Source organism: Homo sapiens, chromosome 1 (assembly GCF_000001405.40).
Source record: "Homo sapiens chromosome 1, GRCh38.p14 Primary Assembly".
Taxonomy (NCBI): Eukaryota; Metazoa; Chordata; class Mammalia; order Primates; family Hominidae; genus Homo; species Homo sapiens.
Window position 1 is genome coordinate 21,353,408 of NC_000001.11, and position 15,481 is coordinate 21,368,888.

Consider the following 15,481-nt stretch of genomic DNA (forward strand, 5'->3'; position numbering starts at 1 on the left):
CTGCCCCAGCCTCCTGGGTAGCTGGAGCTCCAGGCATGCACCACCACTGCGCCCGGCTCTGTTTTATTTGTTTTTTGTGAGTTGCTGCAAATGCCTTTCTGTTCGTGATAGAATAAGGATATACCTAAATAATAGGCATGCACCATCATGAAGCCACCCCACAACTCCTTGCCGTTATCTGTGTTAAGAAGCTGAAGCCGAGGGGGGACGTGGGCACTAATCTAGAGAAGGCAGCTTTTAAGTTGTGGGATTTGAACTGGGCGGTTTTTTTTTTTTGTTTTTTTTTTGTTTTTTTTTTCTGAAGAATCATACAGAAGCTGGAATTACTACGGTGAGGAGTAGGGTTGCATTTCAGTTACCCTGGTACAGATTCACAGACCCTGAAGGCTGGACCTGGACGAGATGTCCAAAGTTATCCATTCCAGTCCCTGTTTTAGTTTATGAAGCTCCACTGCAGTTTCCTCCACAGGTGTCACCTGGCCCACGTGTGAACACCTCCGCTGATGGGAGACTTGGTTTTGCAGAGAGCACAGAGGAGGGGAATGTAGCTGAGAAAGTAGGCCAGGGTGGAGCAGTGAAGGGGAAGGAATTCCTGAGACTTAGCTGGGATGAGCACAGGGGGACTGCCAGAGGGGACAGGAATGCAGGCAGAGTGGAAAACCATTTCCTCAAATGCCCTCACTACAATATCAGCTCTTTTATGTATAGCCCTTCCAAGTTGAGGGAGTAAAAATACGTTATTTCAAAGAAACAAGTTCCCCCAGAGCCAAACTACTATAACAAAGTATATTTCCTGTTTTGCCTTTGCTGCTAGGAAGCCCTTAGGTAGGTTATATATTCAACCTCAGTAACAAACTCAGTCCAGGCACCTGATAGATTTATCTCTATCTTTTTCCAATGGCTTTCCATCTCTCTATTTATTTATGTATTTGAGATGGAGTCACAGTCCGTGGCTCAGGATGGAGTGCAGTGGTGCGATCTCGGCCCACTGTAAACTCTGCCTCCCGGGTTCAAGCGATTCTCCTGCCTCAGCCTCCTTAGTAGCTGGGATTACAGTCGTAATCAGCTAAGCGCCACCATGCTAAGCTAATTTTTGTATTTTTAGTAGAGATGGGGTTTTGCCATGTTGGCCAGGCTGGTCTTGAACTCCTGACCTCAAGTTATCCGCTCACCTCAGCTCCCTAAGTGCTGGAATTATAGGTGTGAGTCACCACCCTCCGCCTCAATCTGTCTTTTTAGATTAATGTTTTATAATGTTTGCTTTAACACTAAACAGCTATCTGAATGTAAGACCATCTCCTCCTCTAAGAAGCCTTCCCCGTCTGTGCCCCCACAGCCCCCTGCATTACTGCTAATGTAGCACCTCTCTCTGTCTTCTTCAGTCTGTTTACTCTCTTTGTCTCCCCTACCTAGGCCCAATTCTGCAACTCCAGCTATAGAAACAGGGACCAGCACATAGTTGATGCTCCATAAATTATCAAACTCTACAGAAAGGCTCTTGTAGGAAATGAGGCCTTGTTTAATAAGCACCTCTTCTCTGCATACACTATCTCATGGGGCACTCACATGACCACTATTTTAACAGATGAAGATCCTGAGGGTCAGAGGGGTGAATTGATTTGCTCCTGGTCACACAGCCTGTAAGTGGCAATGAAGGATGTGAACCCAACTCTGTCTGATTTTAAAGTTCCTGCTCTCCACCATGGCTTTGTACATCATCACTGTAGTTCTTTCATGTGGAGGGAAGAACTTGAGGACTCCAGCTACAGCTGCCTATGAGTGGGGGATCAGGGGGCCTGGGGCATGGGAAAAGTCACTCAGGGTCCCTGGGCCTCAGACTTCTCCTTTTTTTTATTTGTTTGTTTGTTTGTTTGTTTGTTTTTTGAGACAGAGTCTTGCTCTGTCACCCAGGCTGCAGTGCGAGATCATGGCTCACTGCAGCCTCAACCTTTTGAGCTCAAGTGATCCTCCCACCTCAGCCTCCCAAGTAGCTAGGACTACAGGTGCACACCACTACACCCGGCTAATTTTTTGTACTTTTTTGTTGAGACGGGTTTTTGCCACATTGCCCAGGCTGGTATCCAACTCCTAGGCTCAAACTATCCAGCCACCTTGGCCTCCCAAAGTGCTGGGATTATAGGTGTGAGCCACCACACCTCACCAGTCTCCTCCTTTGTAAAATGAAGGGGTTGGATCAGCAATTGTCAGCTCTAGGGGTCCATTTGCATCACCTGGGGAGCTCTTAAAAGGTACTGATGCCTGCATCCCACCTCAGGTCAATTAAACCAAAATAACTGAAGGCAGGTCCCCCCAGGTGATTTGGATGCTGGAGAGGGCTAAGAACACTAAACTCGCCCCTCAGTGAGGCCCATTGCAGGAAGCCCCTCGACCTGGCATGATGGAAAGACCAGGGCTGTGGAGCCAAGTGGGCATGGGTTCTGATCCCAGGTCTGTTCTTTCGTATACATCAACATCCTCGTTGAGCAGAGGAGAGCAAGGCTGGTGAAGTCTGAGGTCTTGCAGCGAAGAAGTGGCATTGTGGAGGTTTCAATCCCGGTCTGCGCTCCGCAATTGCAGGATATTGAGGAGGGTCTTAGACAAAGAGAGGAGGTGTGGGTGGGTAGGTAGGTCCGCTTGGAGCCTGTGTCTGTACTGGCAGACCTGAGAGCTGGGTGGGGCCTGTCTTGGGGATCCCAAAGCCATCCCTGCCTGTGACTCACACTGTTTTCACAGCAGGTGTTGGGGCAGCATGAAGTCACCCACACCTCCCACGCTTCTCACACCTCTGCTGCCTCCTAGCCTAGCACGTGCCCAGACACCTCCACCACCTATGGTGCCCCAAGCCCTGGGCAGTGACAGGCCAGTGTGGACAAGCTGGCCAGCCTGTGTGTGATTGGGGTGTTGGCATTGGCTGCAAGAACACACTGACAGGAAGGCTGATGCCAACTCAAGGCACAAGCAGACCTTTTCCCAAACACCCACCCCATCGCTCCTGTGCCCTGTGGTCTTGGGCAAGTCCCTGCACCGCTTTGACAGTCTATAACATGTGTGTAAAAGCATGGCTCATGGGGTTCCCATGAGCTCCAGAACACCAAGCTCTTTCCCCCAACAGAGTCAGACCAGGCTGCCCCTCATCTGGACTGACTCCCCCATCACTTTTCCTTTTAGGTCTCAGTCCAAATGTCACTGTCCGGAAAGGCCTTTCTTGTCGACCCTCTCTAAGGGGACTCTCCTTTTCTTCTCCCTCACTGCACCCACCTCATTTCCTTCATTGTACTTATCAGAATTTCTTTTTTCTTTCTTTCTTTCTTTTTTTTTTTTTTTTTTTTTGAGACGGAGTCTTGCTCTTGTTGCCCAGGCTGGAGTGCAATGGTACAATCTTGGCTCACTGCAACCTCCACCTCCTGGGTTCAAGTGATTCTCCTGCCTCAGCTTCCCGAGTAGCTGGGATTACAGGCACGTGCCACCATGCCTGGCTAATTTTTATTTTTAGTAGAGACTGGGTTTCACCATGTTGGCCAGGCTGGTCTCGAACACCTGACCTCAGGTGATTCACCCACCTCGGCCTCCCAAAGTGCTGGGATTACAGGTGTGAGCCACTACACCCAGCCACTTATCAGAATTCCTAATTCTACACTTAGTTTCTTCGTTACTTGTCTAGCTCTCCAATCAGATTACAAAGCAAATGTAGGGACTGTCCTTTTGTCATGTTGTCATGTCTCTCTCTCTTTGAGAGACAAGGTCTCACTCTGTCACCCAGGCTAGAGTGCAGTGGTGCAATCACAGCTCACTGCAGCCTCAAACTTCTGGGCTCAAGCGATCCTCCTACCTCAGCCTCCTGAGTAACTGGCACCACCACGCCTGGTTATTTTTTTTCTTTTTTTCTTTTTTTTTTTAGACAAGGTCTCGCTCTGTCATCTAGGCTGGAATGCAGTGACATAATTATAACTCAGCCTTGAGCTCCCAGGTCGACCTCACTGCCACCTCAACCTCCCAGACTCAAGTGATCCTCCCACCTCAGCCTTTCACACAGCTGGGACTACAGGTGCGTGCCACCATGCCCAGCTAATTTTTTTTTTCTATTTTTTGTAGAGATGGAGTCTCATTATATTGCCTAGTCTGGTCATGAACTCCTAGGCTCAAGTGATCCACCTGCCTTGGCCTCCAAAAGTGCTGGGATTACAGGCGTGAGCCACCACACCCAGACTTGGCTAATTTTTTAATTTTTAGTAAAGACGAGGACTCAGTGTGCTGCTCAGGCTTGTCTCTGTCTCCTGGCCTCAAGTGATCCTCCCTCCTTGGCCTCCCAAAGTGCTGGGATTATAGGCATGAGCCACTGCACCCGACTCGTTATGTCTCTTTATTGAGGTGTAACCTGCACACCATACCATTCATCCATGTTAAGTGTATAGTTCAATGATTTTTAGTAAATTCACAGAATTGTGCCATCATCACCACAAGCCAGTTTTAGAACACTCGCATTGCCGGCTGGCTCACCCCTGTAATCCCAGCACTTTGGGAGGCTGAGGCAGGCAAATCATGAGGTCAGGAGATCAAGACCATCCTGGCCAACACGGTGAAACCCCGTCTCTACTAAAAAAAAAAAAAAATACAAAAATTTAGCCGGACATGGTGGCGGGCGCCTGCAGTCCTAGCTACTCAGGAGGCTGAGGCAGGAGAATGGGGTGAACCCAGGAGGCGGAGGTTGCAGTGAGCTGAGATCGCGCCACTGCACTCCAACCTGAGTGACAGAGACTCCATCTCAAAAAAAAAAAAAAAAAAAGAACACTCGCATCGCCCCCTAAAGATCCCTCCTAGCCACTTGCAGGTAATCCCTGCTTTTGTCTTCATCCCCAGGCAGACACTGATCTGCTTTCTGTCTCTCTAGTTTTTCCTTTTCTAGAAATTTCACATAAATGGAGCCAGGTGCGGTGGCTCATGCCTGTAATCCCAGCACTTTGGGAGGCCAAGGCAGACAGATCATCCAAGGTTAGGAGTTTGAGACCAGCCTGGCAACATAGTGGGACCCTGTCTCTATAAAAAATTAGCCGGGCCGGGCGTGGTGGCTCACGCCTGTAATCCCAGCACTTTGGGAGGCCGAGGCGGGCGGATCAAGAGGTCAGGAGATCGAGACCGTCCTGGCTAACACGGTGAAACCCCATCTCTACTAAAAATACAAAAAATTAGCCGGGCGTGGTGGCGGGCGCCTGTAGTCCCAGCTACTCAGGAGGCTGAGGCGGGAGAATGGCATTAACCCGGGAGGCGGAGGTTGCAGTGAGCCGAGATCGCGCCACTGCACTCCAGCCTGGGCGACAGTGAGACTCCGTCTAAAAAAAAAAAAAAAAAAAAAAATTGGCTGGGGCAGTGGTGCATGCCTGCAGTTCCAGCTACTTAGGAGGTTGAGGTGAGAGGATTGCTTGAGCCCAGGAGGCCGAGGCTGCAGTGAGCCATGTTTGTACCACTGCACTGGCAATTAGTAAGGGCTGCAGGAGTCCACAGCTCAGAATCTGCTGAGAACAGGAGAAGGGACGGGAGAGGTGAGAGCGTAAGGATAGGCAAGATTTCCGGAGGCAAATGCTTGTCAGGAGGTAAGTGGAGCAGATTTGGGGGAAACAGGCCCTCCTACCCTACAGGTGGAAGGAAGAGTTGGTTCAAGAATTCTCAGGACAGTTGGTCTTAAAAACATATCACTTTTCACCCAGAAGTTCTACTTAGGAATTCCTTTAATTATGGAAATAATTAAAAGTATGCATAAAAGTATAACTACAAAAATTTGCCCTCACAGACTAGATTATGATAGAAAAAAATAGAAACTCATTATGCCTATCATAATAACGTTGAGTAATTTTTGGCAGAATCTCCACAGCCATTAAAATATATTGATGTCATTTATTTATTGAAATGGAAAAATGTGCTGGGCTAGGTGGCACACGCCTGTAATCCTGGCACTTTGGGAGGCCAAGGTGGGCGGATCACTGGAGGTCAGGAGTTCGAGAACAGCCTGGCCAACATGGGGAAACCCTGGCTCTACTAAAAATAGAAAAAAAATAGCCGGGCATTGCATGGGCAACTGTAATCCCAGCTACTTGGGAGGCTGAGGCAGGAGAACCGCTTGAGCCCGAGATGCGGAGATTGCAGTGAGCCGAGATCGCACCACTGCACTCCAGCCCAGCAACAGAGTGGGACTCAGTCTCAAAAAAAAAAAAAAAAAGAAAAAAGAAATGGAAAGTTCATGATTTGTGGTTGAATTAAGCAAAAGGATAATTTTTATATTGCATGTGCCATACAACTTAGCAATTCTATCTTAGGTCTTTATCTCAGAAAAATTTGTATTCTTGTGTTTAATACATATGAAGATTTGTAATCAGGTGCAGTGGCTGAGTTTGAGACCAGCCTGGGCAACATAGTGAGACCCCGTCTCTACCAAAAGTAAATTAGTCAGATGTGATGTTGTGCACTTGTAGATCCAGCTACTCAGGAGTCTGAGACAGGAGGACCAGAGGTTGAAGCTGCAGTGAGCCATATTCGCACCACTGCACTCCAGCCTGGGTGACAGAGCAAGACCCTGTCTCACACACACAAATAAAGACTTGTGCCAGAATGTTGTGTAGCACAGTTTGCAAAAGCAAAAGGAATGAACTAGGATGAATGAATGAACACAGATGAATGTGAACACACCTCTACAACATAATGTCAAACCCAAATACCAACTAGCAAAAGGATATGTGTGGAACCATGCCATTTATTTGAAGCGTAACCATATCAAGTGCATGAATAAGAATGATAAACCCCAAATTTGTGAGAGATTTACTCTGGGGAGGAATACAGCAGAAGGATTGCAAAGGGGCACCCAGGGGGCTTCAACCGTATCTGTTAGTTTTTATTTAAAAAAAAAAAAAAGCTGGACACGGTGGCTCACACCTGTAATCCCAGCACTTTGGGAGGCCGAGGCGGGCAGATCACAAGGTCAGAAGATCGAGACCATCCTGGCTAACAAGGTGAAACTCCGTCTCTACTAAAAATACAAAAAATTAGCCGGGCGTGGTGGCTGATGCCTGTAGTCCCAGGTACTTGGGAGGCTGAGGCAGGAGAATGGCCTGAACCCGGCAGGAGGAACTTGCAGTGAGCTGAGATTGTGCCACTGCACTCCAGCCTGGGCGACAGAGTGAGACTCCATCTCAAAAAAAAAAAAAAAAAAAAAAAAAAACAGCCGAAGCAAATATGCTAAAAATGTTAGGATTTGTCAAAACTTGTTTATGAGTATGAGTGTATGTTATAGTAGTCTCTGGATTTTTGTTTGCTTACAATACTTCATCTGAAAAACAGCTTTCATTGTTTCTTGTTAATATAAACGAATGAACGGAAAAACTGTAATTTAAAGAGTGTATAGCAAGGCCAGGTGCAGTGGCTCACACCTGTAATCCCAGCACTTTGGGAGGGCGAGGCGAGTGGATCACCTGAGGTCAGGAGTTTGAGACCAGCCTGGCCGACATGGTGAAACCCCATCTCTAATAAAAATACAAAAAGTAGCTGGGCATGGTGGCGTGCACCTGTAATCCCAGGTACTTGAGAGGCTGAGACAGGAGAATCGATTGAACCGGGGAGGCAGAGGTTGCAGTGAGCTGAGATTGCACCACTGCACTCCAGCCTGGGTAACAAGAGCAAAATTCCGTCTCAAAAAAAAAATAAATAAAAACAAAGAATATGTATCAAATAATCATGATGATTTCCATGTGATGAGATGACTGATTATATTTGTTTTCCTATTTACGTTTGCATATCTATATTTTCTGATTTTCCTGTGGTGAACATGTCTTACCTGTTCAATGTTTTAAAACCTAAAACAAAAAAGGCATATAGAAAAGCTGTAGAGGGGGCATTCCAGGCCAAGACGACAGCAGAGGCCAAGGCCTGGCTGTGGAGAAGCTGCCAGAACATGGGATATCAGACAGGAGAAGGATGGGAAGAAAAACTGCTGGAAAGGGGAGCTGGGGGCAAGGTGGTAGGTCTTGAGTGCCAGGCCGAGGAGCTGCAACTTGACCTTGAAGGCCATGGGGCCTCAAACTGGGGTCCATGGCCACTGGGGAGCCTCAAGCATACTCCCGGGAATCTGGTTCCAAGATTTTCATAATTTGGGGCCTTCATTTTAGTGATCGTCTCTAAACAGTGAGTACAAGCATATCCTGACTTCTCTGAATGACTCAGCCATAATCCAGAGCCACCAATGTAATTTCAGGGCCTGGATTGGTTTGTGCCTGGGGTCAGGTTGATGCCAGCTGCCCCACTTTGATTGTCTTGGGCAGATGAGGAAAGAAAGGAGCAGGTCTCAGCTTGGCCGGTTTATTCTCCAGCCCCATGAGCTCAGCGCTTGGGCCTGGGAGAATTCCAAGGGCCTGAAAGATGTTCCAATCTTGAAAAAAGAATTGTAATGACTCTACAGTACCAAAATCAATGACCAAAATAACACTTGCATGCACACACACACACACACGCACACCCTGCATGTGAAATCATTTCAGTTGTGAAAGTATAAAATTGAATAGAAATCATTTCAATTGCAAAAGTATACAAATGAATATTTTCATGGCAAAAAAAATTTGATGTGGAATGTGGGTGTGTTTTAATATGCTTGGTAAGGGGAGAAGTGGAGTCTCCAAAGGTAGGGATGCTGGAGGACTATGAAGTTCCTTAAAGCATAGAGGGGTGGATAGAATCCCAGCAAAGAAGGCCAAATGGCGAACTGCTGTGCTCACCCCCTTAGTGGTTCCCCTTCACCCAAACTGGAAAAGAACTGGGCAAATTGAATCAGCATACGCAGCAGTGCAGGAGTGCCAAGGGAAAAACAAAGGCCAGGCAGCAAACAGCACGCTGGCACAGCCTGCAAAACACTCATCATTCAAAGGATGTGATTTTGATTCTGCAAAGTGATGTCATCCAGCACATTCAATGGATGTTGTTTATCTAAATTTGTGGCCATATTTGTATTTAATCTGGTCTTATGGCAGTGTAGAGTCCTGAAGAGTTTGTACCTAGTTTTATGTTTTAAGGAACAGTATAATCAAAATAATTAGAATCAGCACTGTCTGGCCAGAAGAACCTTCATCCTTTTGGAGAGCCTGTTTGTAAATCATTCATTTGGGAAGTGCTGCTAGGGACTGGGGGACTGCTGAGGGGCTGTGGGTGGGGTTGCGGGGGTGGGACATGAACTTGATTGCATGTTCTGGATGACCAGTAGCCAGAGTGAGGCTGGTGTGAGGCTTGAACGCCTGAGGACAGGGATGGGCATCTTATTCAGGCCCTCATAGTGCCAAGGGTAAGACCTCAGATGCCGTAAGAACTTAACAAAGACTGGCCACCACCATGGAATTTCCCATCAGAGCGTCCTGCTTCTCCAGGCTGCGGGCAGAGATGTATCTGTCTTGGTCCTGGTGAATCCAGTGGGTCAACTTGGCACATGGAGGCCTCGATGCATTTTTTTTTTCTTTTGGAGATGGAGTCTCACTCTGTCACCCAGGCTGGAGTGCAGTGGTGCAACCTCGGCTCACTGCAACCTCCACCTCCTGGGTTCAAGTGATTCTTGTGCCTCAGCCTCCCGAGTAGCTGGGACTGCAAGAGTGCACCACCACACCCGGTTAATTTTTTTTTTTTCTGTATTTTAGTAGAGATGGGGTTTCACCATGTTGTCCAGGTTGGTCTCCAACTGCAGAGCTCAGGCAATCCACCCACCTCAGCCTCCCAAAATGCTGGGATTACAGGCGTGAGCCACTGCACCCAGCCCTTCAAGGCATATTTGTAAATAAGAGAGGTCAGAAGGAGGAAGATGCCTCTCTTTCCTGCATTTCTCTCATCCAATCCACCAGCACATCGTTTTGCTCGATCTCCAGAGTGCACCCAGCCCCAGCCCCAGCCCCTCCACCACGGCCTCCAGCATTCTCACCTGGACCGTGTGGATGGCCTTACCAGTCTCCTGGCTCTGCCTCCTCCACACGCAGCAAGAAGGAGATGTTTTTTGTTTTTTTTTTGAGACGGAGTCTCACTCTGTCGCCCAGGCTGGAGTGCAGTGGCACGATCTCGGCTCACTGTAAGCTCTGCCTCCCGAGTTCACACCATTCTGCTGCCTCAGCCTCCCGAGTAGCTGGGACTACAGGCTCCCGCCACCACGCCCGGCTAATTTTTTGTATTTTTTTTTAAGTAGAGATGGGGTTTCACCATGTTAGCCAGGATGGTCTCGATCTCCTGACCTCATGATCCACCCGCCTCGGCCTCCCAAAGTGCTGGGATTATAGGCGTGAGCCACTGCACCTGGCCTCCGTGTCTTTTCATAGTTTGATAGCTCATTTTTTTTTTTTTAGCACTGGAAAACATTCTCTTGTCATTGTCTGGATGTACCACAGTTTCTTTACCCATTTATCTGCTGAAGGACATCTTGGATGCTTCCAAGTTTTGGCAATTGTGAATAAAGCTGCTAGAAGCACCTGTGTGCAGGCTTTTGTGTGGACACAAGTTTTCAGTTCTTTTAGGTAAATACCAGCGACTGCGATTGTTGGATCATACGTTAAGAGTATGTTTGTTTTGTAAGAGACTATCATACTGTATTCCAAAGAGGCTGTACCGTTTCGCATTCCCATCAGCAACGAATGAGCATTCCCGTTGTTTTTCATCCTCCCCAGCATTTGGTGCTATCAGTATTCTTGATTTTGGCCATTCTAATAGGTATATCAGGAAGGAGATTTTTAAAGTGCGAATATTCTGCCCTCAAAATTTTAGTGGCTTTCTGTCAAGCTTAAAATTAAATTCAAATTATATATATATATATATATATATATATATATATATATATATATATATATATTTTTTTTTTTTTTTTTTTTTTTTTTTTTTTTTTTTGAGGCAGAGCCTCACTCTGTTGCCCAGGCTGGAGTGCAGTGGTGCCATCGTGGCTCACTGCAACCTCCACCTCCCATGTTCAAGTGATTCTCTTGCCTCAGCCTCTTGAGTAGCTGGGATTACAGACACCCACCACCATGCCTGGTGAATTTTTGTATTTTTAGTAGAGATGAGGTTTCACCATGTTGGCCAGCTTGATCTCGAACTCCTGACCTCAAGTGATCCACCCACCTCGGCCTCCCAAAGTGCTGGGATTACAGGCATGAGCCACCGTGCCCGGCCTAAATTCAAATTATTTATGGTAGCTTTCAAAGGCCCATGAGATCTACCTCTACCAGCCTCTGCCACATCCTCTCCCCCACTCTGCTCTGTGTTCACTAAGCTCCGGCTGCCTGGATGTTCCTGGAACACAGGAGTCATCGGGTTTCAGGGCCTTTGCCCTTGCTGCTCCTTGTACCTGGGATGCTCTTCCTCCATGGCTCAGCAGGTGGCTCTTCCTGACCTGTGAAGTTTCATCACAATGTCACCTCCCCAGAGGGACCCTTTCCCCTGACCCCCTGCATTACACCCCCCACCACCAATGCATTACGCTGTTTCAAGTCTTCCTAGCTCTTACCACTTCCTGAACTTGTCTTATCTTTGTATTTGTTACTCCTTTAATGTCTCAATCTATCGTAGATCTTGAGTCCCCATGAAGGCATAGGTCATCTCTGTCCTGGTCACAGCTAAGTCTCCAGCACTAGAATGGAGCCTGGCACATAGTAGGTGCTCAGTAAAAGCTTGCTGAGTCAACAATGGGATACCACTTCACACCCACTAGAATGGCTATAATCAAAAAGGTAAGGAGATGGAGCAATTAAAATGTTTATATATTGCTGGTGGTAATGGAAAATGAGGCAGACACTTTGAGTTTGTCAGTTCCTCAAAAAGTTAAACAGAGTTACCATGTGACCTAGCAGTTCCACTCCTAGGTATATACCCAAGAGAAATGAAACTATGTCCACACAAAACATGTTCATGTATGATCAAGCAGCACTATTCATAATAGCCAAAAAGTAGAAATAACCCAAATATCTATCAGTTGACAAATATGTACATGAAATGTTGTACATGGCCATGCACAGTGGCTCATGCCTGTCATCCCAGCCACTTTGGGAGGCAGAAGCATGAGGATTGCTTGAGCTCAGGATTTCAAGGCCAACCTGGGCAACACAACGAAATCCTGTCTTCACAAAATATACAAAAATTAGCTGGGCATGGTGGTGCATGCCTGTAGTCCCAACTACTCGGGAGGCTGAGGCACGAGAATTGCTTGAACCTGGGAGGTGGAGGTTGCAGTAAGCTTTGTTTATGCCACTGCACTCTAGCCTGGTCAACAGAGCAAGACCCTGTCTCTAAATAAATAAATAAATAAATAAATAAATAAATAAATGCTGGCTGGGGATGGTGGTTCATGGCTGTAATCCCAGCACTTTGGGAGGCCGCAGGTGGGAGGATCACTTGAGTTCAGGAGTTTCAGAACAGCCTGGGCAACATAGAGAGATCCCATCTCTACTTTTTTTTTGAGATGGAGTCACGCTCTGTCGCCCAGGCTGGAGTGCAGTGGCACGATCTCGGCTCACTGCAAGCTCCGCCTCCCGGGTTCATGCCATTCTCCTGCCTCAGCCTCCCGAGTAGCTGGGACTATGGCACCTGCCACAACGCCCAGCTAATTTTTTGTTTTTTTAGTAGAGATGGGGTTTCACTGTGTTAGCCAGGATGGTCTCGATCTCCTGACCTTGTGATCCACCCGCCTTGGCCTCCCAAAGTGCTGGGATTACAGGCATGAGCCACTGTGCCCGGCCCCCCATCTCTACTTTCAAAGAATTAGCTGGGTACGATGGTGGATACCTATGGTCCCAGCTACTTGGGAAGCTGAGATGGGAGGACTGCTTGAGCCCAGGAGTTAGAGGCTGCAGTGAGCCATGATGATTCCACTGCATGCCAGCCTGATTAATAAAGCAAGACTGTCTCAAATTATAAAAAATAAGAAAGTTGTACATCATTATAATGCAATATTATTCAGCAACAAAAAGGAATGAGGCACTGACATGCTATGACATGTACAAGCTTAAAAATCATTATACCAAATAAAAGAAGCCAGACACAAAGGTCGCATATTGTATGATTTCATGTGTGTGAAATGTCACAATAGGCAAATACATAGAGGCAGAAAGTACATTTGTGGTTGCCAGGTACTGGAGGGAGGACGGATGGGGAATGACTGCTAATGAGCATAAGTTTCAGGGAGATGATGAAATGTTCTGGAATTAGATAATAGTGATGGCTGCACAACTTTCTGAATACATTAAGAACCACTGACTCGGTTCACTAAGTTTTATTGTATGTGAATTATATCTGTATTTTTTTTTTTTGAGACAAAGTTTTGCCGTTGTCGCCCAGGCTGGAGTGCAGTGGCGCAATCTCAGCTCACCACAACCTCCGCCTCCCAGGTTCAAGCGATTCTCCTTCCTCAGCTTCCCAAGTAGCTGGGATTACAGGTGCCCACCACCACGTCCAGCTAATTTTTGTATTTTTAGTAGAGATGGGGTTTCCCCATGTTGGCCAGGCTAGTCTCAAACTCCTGGCCTCAGGTGATCCACCCGCCTCGGCCTCCCAAAGTGCTGGGATGACAGGTGTGAGCCACCACGCTCGGCCTGTAACTGTATTTTTTAAAAGCCTTGTTATGCCTCTAATCTCAGCACTTTGGGGGGCCGACGTGGTAGGATCACTTGATCCTAGGAGTTTGAGACCAGCCTGGGCAACATAGCAAGACCCCATCTCTACAAAAATAAAGTTAACTGGGTGTGATGGCGAATGCCTGTCATCCTAGCTACATGGGAGGCTGAGGGGGGAGCATAGCTTGAACCCAGGAGGTCGAGGCTGCAGTGAGCTATGATTGTGTCACTGCAATCTAGCCTGGGTGACAGACTGAGACCCTGTTTCAAAAAAAAAAATCCAAAACAAAACATCTTGTACACAAATGTTTACAGCAGCATTATTCATAATAGCCTAACGTGGAAACAACCCAAATGTCCATCCGCTGATTAATGGAGAAACAAGATGTGGTCTATCCACACATTAGAATATTATTCAACCATAAAAAGGAGTGAAATACATATACATGCTACAACATGGATGAACCTGGAAAACATACTAAGTGAAAGAAACCAGTCACAAAAGTTTACATTTTGCATTATCCTATTTATACGAAATGTCAAGAATAGGCAAATCTATACAGACAGAAAGGAGAGGAGTACCTGCCTAGGCCTGGGAGTGACTGCCAATGGGTACGAGGTTTCTTTTGGGGTAAAAATGTCCTGAAATTGGGTTACAGTAATGGTTGTATAAATCTCTCTACATACTAGAAATCATTGTATTAGGCCGGGCGCAGTGGCTCACGCCTGTAATCCCAGCACTTTGGGAGGCTGAGCTGGGTGGATCACAAGGTCAGGAGATCGACACCATCCTGGCTAACACGGCGAAACCCCGTCTCTACTGAAAATACAAAAAAAAATTTGCCGGGCGCGGTAGCGGGCGCCTGTAGTCCCAGCTACTCGGGAGGCTGAGGCAGGAGAATGGCGTGTACCCGGGAGGCGGAGCTTGCAGTGAACCGAGATCGTGCCACTGCACTCCAGCCTGGGCGACAGAGCGAGACTCTGTCTCAAAAAAGAAAAAAAAAAAAAAAAGAAATCATTGTATTGTACATTCTAAATGAGTGAACTTTTATGACATATACATTATATCTCAACAAAGCCTTTTAAAAAGTTTATTGAATGGGCTGGGCGCAGTGGCTCACACCTGTAATCCTAGCACTTTGGGAAGCTGAGAGCTGGGCGGATCACCTGAAGTCGGGAATTCGAGACCAGCCTGGCCAATATGGCGAAACCCCAGCTCTACTAAAAATACAAAACTTAGCCGGGTGTGGTGGTGCGTGCCTGTAATCCTAGCTACTTGGGAATCTGAAGCAGGGGAATTGCGTGACCCCTGGAGACGGAGGTGGCAGTGAGCTGAGGTCGCGCTGCTGCACTCCAGCCTGGGCAACAGAGCAAGACTCCATCTCAAAAAAAAAAAAAGTTTATTGAATGAACGAGGAGAAGATAAAGTGGAAGGAAGATAAGGAGGGAAAACAGTTGAGAAACTGCCCTAGGTCTGGACAGAGCTGATTCCCTAAGACACCCCCGCTGGGAAGCCTGGTTCACCCTTTAGTCCCCTCCCTTCCTTCCTTTCTTCCTTTCTCCTCCCCTCTCCTTTCCCACGGTCTGTGATTCTGGTGGAAACTCTGGCCCAAGCTGGGCTGGCAGGAGGAGCCACCTGCCACGGTGCACGGCTGTCCCCTGGTGGCGATCTAAAGTGAAGACTTGGGAATGTGGTCAAGGTGGGAGGCCTGGGAATGGGGATTATTAGAGAGCTAGGGAAACCCTGGTGAATGAAGGGTGAAGGAGCAGAAGAAACTTCCAGAAGCCTGGAGACAGGGGAACGCCAGGGATGGAGCCCTGTGACACTTTGCTAAGCTTCTGAGGTTGATACTGGGATTCTGATTATTACTGTGCCG

General features: G+C 47.3%; 2 annotated features.

Moving 5' to 3' along the window:
* Positions 2,311–2,812: an enhancer, noted in NCBI's record as "H3K4me1 hESC enhancer chr1:21682211-21682712 (GRCh37/hg19 assembly coordinates)". NCBI's record gives its function as "activates a minimal SCP1, AML or CMV promoter by ChIP-STARR-seq in primed H9 embryonic stem cells {active_cell/tissue: H9 hESC(primed)}" and the evidence as "EXISTENCE:reporter gene assay evidence [ECO:0000049][PMID:30033119]".
* Positions 2,813–3,312: an enhancer, noted in NCBI's record as "H3K4me1 hESC enhancer chr1:21682713-21683212 (GRCh37/hg19 assembly coordinates)". NCBI's record gives its function as "activates a minimal SCP1, AML or CMV promoter by ChIP-STARR-seq in primed H9 embryonic stem cells {active_cell/tissue: H9 hESC(primed)}" and the evidence as "EXISTENCE:reporter gene assay evidence [ECO:0000049][PMID:30033119]".